The sequence below is a fragment of the Homo sapiens genome, chromosome 8, assembly GCF_000001405.40.
Source record: "Homo sapiens chromosome 8, GRCh38.p14 Primary Assembly".
Lineage (NCBI taxonomy): Eukaryota > Metazoa > Chordata > Mammalia > Primates > Hominidae > Homo > Homo sapiens.
Window position 1 is genome coordinate 120,046,928 of NC_000008.11, and position 8,491 is coordinate 120,055,418.

The 8,491-nt window shown below is 41.1% G+C and overlaps 1 protein-coding gene across 2 annotated transcripts in view, besides 2 other annotated features; it reads left to right on the plus strand.

Annotated features, from left to right (window-relative positions):
• The window catches only part of DEPTOR (DEP domain containing MTOR interacting protein), a 177,197-nt gene extending 173,206 nt beyond the window's left edge, over window positions 1-3,991 (plus strand). For both annotated transcript variants that reach the window (NM_022783.4, NM_001283012.2), the window contains one exon: window positions 2,649-3,991. In NM_022783.4, coding sequence (NP_073620.2) covers window positions 2,649-2,777 — 129 coding nt within the window. In that variant the 3' untranslated portion in view covers window positions 2,778-3,991. The remainder of the gene's footprint in view (window positions 1-2,648) is intronic.
• Window positions 679-1,538: an enhancer, noted in NCBI's record as "OCT4-NANOG-H3K27ac hESC enhancer chr8:121059845-121060704 (GRCh37/hg19 assembly coordinates)". NCBI's record gives its function as "activates a minimal SCP1, AML or CMV promoter by ChIP-STARR-seq in primed H9 embryonic stem cells {active_cell/tissue: H9 hESC(primed)}" and the evidence as "EXISTENCE:reporter gene assay evidence [ECO:0000049][PMID:30033119]".
• Window positions 1,539-2,398: an enhancer, noted in NCBI's record as "OCT4-NANOG-H3K27ac-H3K4me1 hESC enhancer chr8:121060705-121061564 (GRCh37/hg19 assembly coordinates)". NCBI's record gives its function as "activates a minimal SCP1, AML or CMV promoter by ChIP-STARR-seq in primed H9 embryonic stem cells {active_cell/tissue: H9 hESC(primed)}" and the evidence as "EXISTENCE:reporter gene assay evidence [ECO:0000049][PMID:30033119]".
• Window positions 3,992-8,491: the final 4,500 nt, after the last annotated feature.

An 8,491-nucleotide genomic window follows, 5' to 3' on the forward strand; every position in this document is an offset into this window, starting at 1 on the left:
AACAGGCAGGCTCTACTCAGCCATGGCCACATGGCCATCTACACCTGGTATGATCACAGCTTCTGATTGTCCCAGAGAAGCCAGAGTCTGGGTTTTTATTTATTTATTTATTTTGAGACAGAGTCTTGCTTTGTTGCCCAGGCTAGAGTGCAGTGGCAGAATCTCGGCCCACTGCAACCTCTGCCTCCCAGGTTCAAGCAATTCTCCTGCCCCAGGCTCCTGAGTAGCTGGGATTACAGGTGTGCCACTACACCTGGCTAATTTTTGTATTTTTAGTAGAGATGGGGTTTCACCATGTTGGCCAGGCTGGTCTTGAACTTCTGGCCTCAGGTGATCTGCCCGCTTCGGCCTCCCAAAGTGCTGGGATTACAGATGTGAGCCACTGCACCCAGCCCAGAGTCTGGATTTTTATGCAAAGATTTTCCAAATTTTATTTTATTTTTTACTTTTATTTTTTGAAATGGAGTTTCACTGTTGTTGCCCAGGCTGGAGTGCAATGGTGTGATCTCGGCTCACTACAACCTCCACCTCCCGGGTTCAAGTGATTCTTCTGCCTCAGCTTTCCAAGTAGCTGGGATTACAGGCATCCGCCACCACGCCCAGCTAATTTTTTTGTATTTTTAGTAGAGACGGGGTTTCACCATGTTGACCAGGCTGATCCACCCGCCAGGCTGATCCACCTCAAGTGATCCACCTGCCTCGGCCTCCCAAAGTGCTGGGATTACAGGCATGAGCTACTGTGCCTGGCAGATTTTCTAAATTTTAAATGCTGGTCAATTAAAACAAACATGATGTGTGACAGAGGACACACAATTGTGGTTAAGACTAAATGCTGAGGCCAAGTGTGGTGGCTCACACCTATAATCCCAGCACTTTGGGAGGCCAAGGTGGGAGGATCACCGGAGGTCAAGAGTTCAAGACCAGACTGGCCAACATGGCGAACCCCCTCTCTACCAAAAATACAAAAAATTAGCTGGGCATGGTGGCACACACCTGTAATCCCAGCTACTCGGGAGGCTGAGGTGGGAGGATCGCTTGAGCCTGGGAGATGGAGGAGATCGTGCCACAGCACTCCAGCCTGGGCAACAGAGGGAGACTCCATGTCAAAAAAAAAAAAAAGTAAATGGTGAAATGTGATCCCTGAGCGATGCGGAGACATGGCTAATCTCAGGGAGCCTGCGAAGGGTCAGCTGGAGAGGGCACTCACCTGGCAACTCCTGCCCTCTTATTTGGCAGTGCAAAAAGGCTATTCATCTTTTTGGAAAAAGAAACCCCTGTATCTGTGGAAAAGACAAGGGATTTGAAATTTCCAAGTCTAGGGTCTAAAGCTCTGGGTTGGGAAGGAGGTGAAATTCTTCTCATTCTTTGGCTCATGAGTCTGCTGCAGCAGAAAAAAACAAAGCCCAGGCTGATGCCTGCTAAATTGCAAATTACTGCTAAATTGTCTTGCAAATTACTGTGGCCTAGTTCAGGATAGATTGTGACCTGTTTGTGTGACCTTGATTATGACTGTGACCTCCACCATGGTTGAAAACTGCTGATTTTGTATAAGATGTACCCTGAATCCATGAAGACAAATTTGTGGAACCAAGAAAAGAGAAACAGTAATAGTGTGATCTTATGTGGAGAAAACACCCTAGTAGGTTGGGGAGTGCAAAGTATCAAGGTTTATGACAACAGCGAGTGTTTATTGAGTAAATAAGCAGTCTGTGTACTACTGCCCGCTTTCCATTTTGTTTTGCCTGTGACCGTGAAAGAAGTGGGTATTTTTTGAAAGGAAAGAGATTAATAGTACTCAGCATCGGTGTAGTGCTTGGTGTTTGCAAAGAGGTTTCAAATGCACTATCTAGTGTGAGCCTGTGAGAATAGGCGTTTTTACCTGTTGTACAAGTGAGGCATTTATATCGTTGAAACATAGAAGAGGAGAAATTACTTGATTAATGTATTCCACCAAAGGGACCTATAACTTAAATCTGTATCTTTGATTCTAAGTCCCCTCATCTTTTCCACAGTGACAGAGCTTTCCAATACTCTTCCCAGTACTCTCCAATTTTGTTGTATCTAAGTAATAAGTATAGATATTTTTGGACTTAATATCATGTTTAAGTTTACATCGATATTACCCACACAGAAAACAATAAAAGGAAATGATGGTTCCCAAGGTGTTTTGGTATTTTTTACATTCTTTGGTTGAGTCCTCAACACTAATAATTAATAATTGGGAGCAAGCATGCCTGTGAATTACTGCAAGTAGAAACTATATATGTCATTAATTCTTACAACAGTCTTATAAGGTAGGTATTACTCTTATTATTATTATTAATTCTTATTTTAGGGTTGAGGGAAATAAAGCTCAGAAATTTAAATACCTAGCTAGTATTTAAATACTAGCTAAAGCTAGTATGTCTCTGAGTTAGGATTTAAGCCAAATTTTGTAAAACACTAAAACGATTTTTTTTTTTTTAAATTATACTGCCTTCCAGAAAATGTGTAGCTCCTTGGAAATTATTGAATTGGAGTCGTCAGCTGGATACATTTGGATATTTTAAGAATGAAGTTACCTGTTAGGGCTACACACTGTCTTTATTAAAGCTTTGTGCAAAACCAGGCGCTATAATAGATGCTCTTTCTTTGCATCTTTCCTTTAGGTCTGTCAGTTTGTCGTCTCTGTCAACGGGCTCAATGTCCTGCATGTAGACTACCGGACCGTGAGCAATCTGATTCTGACGGGCCCACGGACGATTGTCATGGAAGTCATGGAGGAGTTAGAGTGCTGAGCTCCTGGGCCTCCCAGCCCTCCAGTGGCCTGTGGGTGAGGGAAGCCAGAATGACACAAAGCAATGCAAAGACAAGATTGCCATGCAAATGGATGGTTTTGGACATACGAGTCTTCTCCGCACATACATGTCTAAAGTTGAGTTTTATACACTGAATGTGGAAGAACCGGGTATCATATCTTTTTTAAAAAATGTCAGTGTAGAAAACATTTGGGAAACCATTTTCCTACATGATAGAACTGCCTTACTAGATTTCTATTTGTAGCTCTCATTCATTGTTTTTTATCTTAGTTTGCAGAAAGGTGTTGAAATGCTTCTCTAGCCCAAACAGCGACATGCTAAAGTCCCCTTCTTCAGAGTCAATAGAGTAGTTGTTAAAGGTTTTAAATTGTACTTTCTCCAAAATTAGCATGCAGCTATTTAATAGGGAATCTAGATTTCACCAAGATTCAAATCAAAGCAACATTTAAAGGAATAAGACCTGTTCACTAGCATTTTCAAGGGGGTTCTAAAGCATTCAAGTGCTTAAAAGCCATAAAAAATGACTTCTTAATTCCTGCCTTTAGTGTCAACTTTTAAGTTAATACAGGTTTCAATTGTGGCATTAGGAAAAAAAAAAACCTTGTGATGCTATGGTTGGGGGTAGTTAGGGAGAGACTACATGAAATTGTGTGCCCCTATTTTCTTTCTGATCCTAAATCATTTTGTTTTATAAATCAGCTATAGCATCTTTCTAGAATTAATCCTGAATATGTTGAATGTTAAAATAGAGAAGTTTGTATATACACATAATTAAAAATCAACCCTTCTGGCAAGATTTCACTTTGAAGGTGTCTGTTTTTAAGGGAAGGCTAAAACTTTGCTGATATGTGATAAAACTTGAACTCTAAATTGCCTCCTTAGCCTGAATTTTTACTAGCTTTCTAGTGTAACATATTCTAAGGACATGACATGCTGCTTATTTGGGGGGATTATTTTTCACCAAAATGATCATCTTGTGTTGTAACTTTTCAGCTCACTTGTATATACGCACGTTTTCATTTTTGGTCTAGAAAATAGTGCATTTTGGGGCTCAGCGTGCAGAGGAAATTCCTCAAAGTGCCAAATTAGGCAGTCAGGAAATACTAAATTCTTCATTCCAAATAATGGATCTGAATGATGACGTTAATTTTTTATCATGCATTAACAAAATAAAATATGAGAATTGTACCACAGCCATTTCTTTTCATTAGGTTATCGTAATGTATAGGTACTGGTGGAATGGACCTACCGTGCTAAATATGTTATAGACATATATATATATATATATATATATATATATATTTCTGGTAATCCAACTTTTCTGATTTGTAGCTTTAGTCAGAGAATAGGATTTTGGAGTGACAGAGAATGTCTAACAGTAATACTGTTGATATACATTTGAGAAATACTATCACCTCTGTGTGGGTGTGCATTTGTACTGTATGGCAGGCTCTGTGCATTTAATATATATGATATCCTTTAACCCTCAATGCAACCTTGCAAGGTAGATATTAACGTCCACATTTTTCAGATGTGGAAACTAAGCCTGAGCAAGTTTTAAAATGGTCTCTAAATTCACACGGCTGCAGGAACTACTAGGTGAAATAGGCTGAATGTAAACACAGGTTTAACGCTAAATCCCATGTTACTCCCCTCAACTTTTCCCCATTTAAGGACCTTATATTGAGGGTTTATTCTGAGCCAGGCTGTATGCTAAGACTTTACGCCATTTGTCCTTATTTACCTGTGAAGTCAATACGGTCATTATCTCCATTTTACAAATGAGGAAACTGACTTGTAAAGTGGTTAGTCATATGCCCAAGGCCACAAAACTAATAAAGTGGGAAACCTTACCACTGGCTTAAAAAAATTTTTTATAGCATCTTTAAAAGATGAGTCTTAAATGCTTTCTGTGCTCAGGTATTCATTAAGTGACAAAAGAAGAAGGAATACCTTTCGAGAAATGGTATCTCCTTTTGAGAAATGGTATCTTCTTCTTGCCTGCTTTACCCATTATCTTGGACCCTGGCATAATAGAACTTCCCTTCAGCCAACCTAAGCACCAGAGAAGCATTTCTCTGTATCTATTGCACACGATCTCCTCTTGGCTGTGAGGAAGGAAGGAAAGAAGGGAGAGAGGATTTCCTTCTTTGGTTCCCATCACCCTAAGTTCAAAAGCCAAAGGCCATGAGAGCTTTCCCTTAGCTACTCCTCCAGCCCACCCCTGACATCTTTACACAGCAATTAAAAAGACTACCCCTACCTTCCTGGGGACCCTATCTCACTCCCTCCAGCCCTTGCACATGTACTTTCTTCTTCGTGGAAAGAAGAATGTTCTGTCTTACTGTTGCCTGGAAAATTCTTTCTTCATGTAAACTCCCTTTAGAAATTATCTCCTCTGAGAAGCCTTCACCAGCTCCCCAGTTCTAGGATTGATGCCTCTTCTCTAAATTTACATGGATCCTTAAGTCCTCCCTATGCCCCGTTAGAGCACTGATGACATTTACTTTGAAATTCCCCTGTTACATGTCTGTTTGCCTAAGTAGACTCTAAGCATCTGCAGAACAGGGGCTATGTCTTAGTATCCAGGGTATTTTCTTCACCTGGCACAATTCCTGCCACAGAGTAGTGTGTCAGCTCTCTATTGTTGTCTAAAAACCCACCTCAAGGGTGGGGTGCAGTGGCTCATGCCTGTAATCCCAGCACTTTGGGAGGCTGAGGCAGGCGGATCACTTGAGTCCAGGAGGTCAAGACCAGCCTGGTCAACATGGTGAAACCATGTCTCTATTAAAAAATAGAAAAATTAGCTGGATGTGGTGGCAAGCACCTGTAATCCCAGCTACTTGGGAGGCTGAGGTGGGAGAATCGCTTGAACTTACAAGGTGGAGGCTGCAGTGAGCCAAGATAGTGCCATTGCACTCCAGCCTGGGCAACAGAGCGAGACTCCAACTCAAAAAAATAAATAAGTAAATAAAAAATAAAAACCTGGCCAGGCACAGTGGCTCACGCCTATAATCCCAGCACTTTGGGAAGCCGAAGCGGGTGGATCACTTGAGGTCAGGAATTTGAGACCAGCCTGGCCAACAGGGTGAAACCCCGTCTCTACTAAAAACACAAAAAATTAGCTGGGCGTGGTGGTGCACGCCCGTAATTCCAGCTACTTGGGAGGCTGAGGTGGGAGAATTGCTTGAACCCAGGAGGCAGAGGCTGCAGTGAGCCGAGATTGTGCCACTTCACTCCAGCCTGGGCGACAGAGTGAGACTCTGTCTCAAAAAAAATAAAAATAAAAACCCATCTCAAATCATGGCTTAAAAAAAAATAAAAATAAAAACCCACCTCAAATCACGGCTTATAGCAACACCCTTTATTTGCTTATAATCCTATGCTCTGGCAGTCTGGGCAGAGCTCTGCTGGCGTGATCCACCACTGCTCCATGGGTGCCAGTTGGGACTCCACACACCTTTGTGGTTAGTGAGCAGATTGGTTGGAGGCTGATTGACCTTGACTGGCCTCATGTATGTGTCTCAAAGTTGGCTGGGGCTGTCGGCTGAAATTCCTTAGTTCTACTCCACATGGCCTTTCCCCATGGCCAGCCCAGGCTGAGATCTGAGATTGAAGAGGGTGAGAACAGAAAGTACAAGATCTTCTTTTGACTTGAAAGCTAGCCCAGAATCGAGGGAAATAAACCCCACCTTTTGATGGAAGGAGCTTCAAAGAATTTGTAGTCATTTCCAATCCACGAAGAGTAGGTACCCACTATTTGTTGAATAAAGCCCTATTGAAAGCTTTTTAGCTATCCAGATGCAAATTACTGGCCAACCTTTGGGTAGAATTATAAAATTCTGCCCAAAATTCTACCAAATTACTGGTACTTGTAAAATTCTACCAAATAACTGGCCAACTTTTGGGTAGAATTGTAAAAATTAAGTTGTAAATAAAGCCTATTGCCTAACAGGAACTTCAAAGTCAGAGAATCCTAAAATGATTGTGCTACACAGGGCCACATAGAGCACAGCTTTGTCTTTTTTTTTTTGAGATGGAGTCTCGCTCTGTCCCCCAGGCTGAAGTGCAGTGGCGCAATCTTTGCTCAAGGCAACTTCTACTTCCCAAGTTCAAGCAATTCTTCTGTTTGAGCCTCCTGAGTAGTGGGACTGCAGGCATGTGCCACTATGCCCCATTATGTATTTTTAGTAGAGATGAGATTTCACCAGATTGGCCAGGCTGGTCTCGAACTCCTGACCTCAAATGATCTGCCTGCCTCGGCCTCCCAAAGTGTTGGGATTATAGGCATGAGCCACCATGCCCGCCCGCTTCGTCTTTTCACTGGACTAATGAAGATACAGGTGTGGAATGGTTTCACAGCATGCCCAACCTCATGAGGCTTGTTGGGTCAGAGCTTGTGCCAGATGCCAGTCTTCTGCCTTCCAGTCTTATAGTTGTTACGCTATAGCCTTCTGCAGTGGATGGTAACGTGGCCAAAATAAGCCTTTGGTTTTGGAGTATTCGTAAAATGAAAGTGGTGCCATCTACCTTAATGCTGGGGGAATATATTTCAATTGACTCAAGTCTTCATTGCTGAATGATATCTTAAAAAAAAAAAAGTATTTTGCCTGATATTTTCACAGTTGTTCTGCTTGAAATGTAAAATTCCAATTTCTAAATGTAATACCAAGATTTATCCTAAATTAACAATAAGCAGTGTTTCTAATAGCTTTTCATATATGTCTGTGTGTATAATCTTCAAATAGGAAAGCATATTGTGCGTGAGGTTTCACTCATTGAGAACCTCTGAAATGTCTTTCTTTGCCCCCTTTAAAAAAAACCATGATTTTCCAGGTGTTTGTGTTTATGTTTTTGCTAGGGAGATGAAAGTAGTTTTTGTTTCTTCATTAGCGTAGGATGTGTACATTGAAAGCCATGTTCCCTTGTAGAAAGAAAAATGCTGTTGCCTTTTGGGTTGATTCTATTATCTGATGTTTTATTAATCTCTGTGAAATAATTGTGTAAATTAATATAGAGACTAGTTGAGAAATGGTGGATAACATGAAGAAGATACCCATTTTTGCATAGATTAGATGTGATCAACCTCACACTATCATATGAAAGTTGGCTGCATTGGAGAGACAGGAATTAATATTAAAAATGTTTTCAGTTCAGATTGATATCTTACATTTCCAAATATTATTTTCTTTTGAATATGTGGTATAAGTAATCTGCTTTAAGTCCTATTTTAGGTTGGGTGCAGTGGCTCACACCTGTAATCCCACCATTTTGGAAGGTTGAGACCAGGAGTTTGAGACCAGCCTAGGCAACAGAGTGAGACCCCATCTTTATAGAAAATAAAAAATTAGCCAGGCATGATGGCACGTGCCTGTAGTCCTAACTACTTGGAGGCTGAGAAGGGAGGATAGCTTGAGCCTGGGAGGTTGAGGCTGCAGTGAGCTGTGATCACACCACTGCACTCCAGCCTGGACAATAGAGCAAGACACTATCTCGAAAAAATAAAAAGACCTGTTTTAAACTGATGATATTAACTATTCTCTCCTGTTGACTATTAATCTTGTTTCATTTTTATTATAAATAATAAGAATGACTAAAACATTTCAATTTTGCTGGTTGGCTGAAATCTATTGATGTAGTTGACCATGGTTTTACTCACTTAAGGCAGAATTTCAGGTGTGACATGTTTTTTC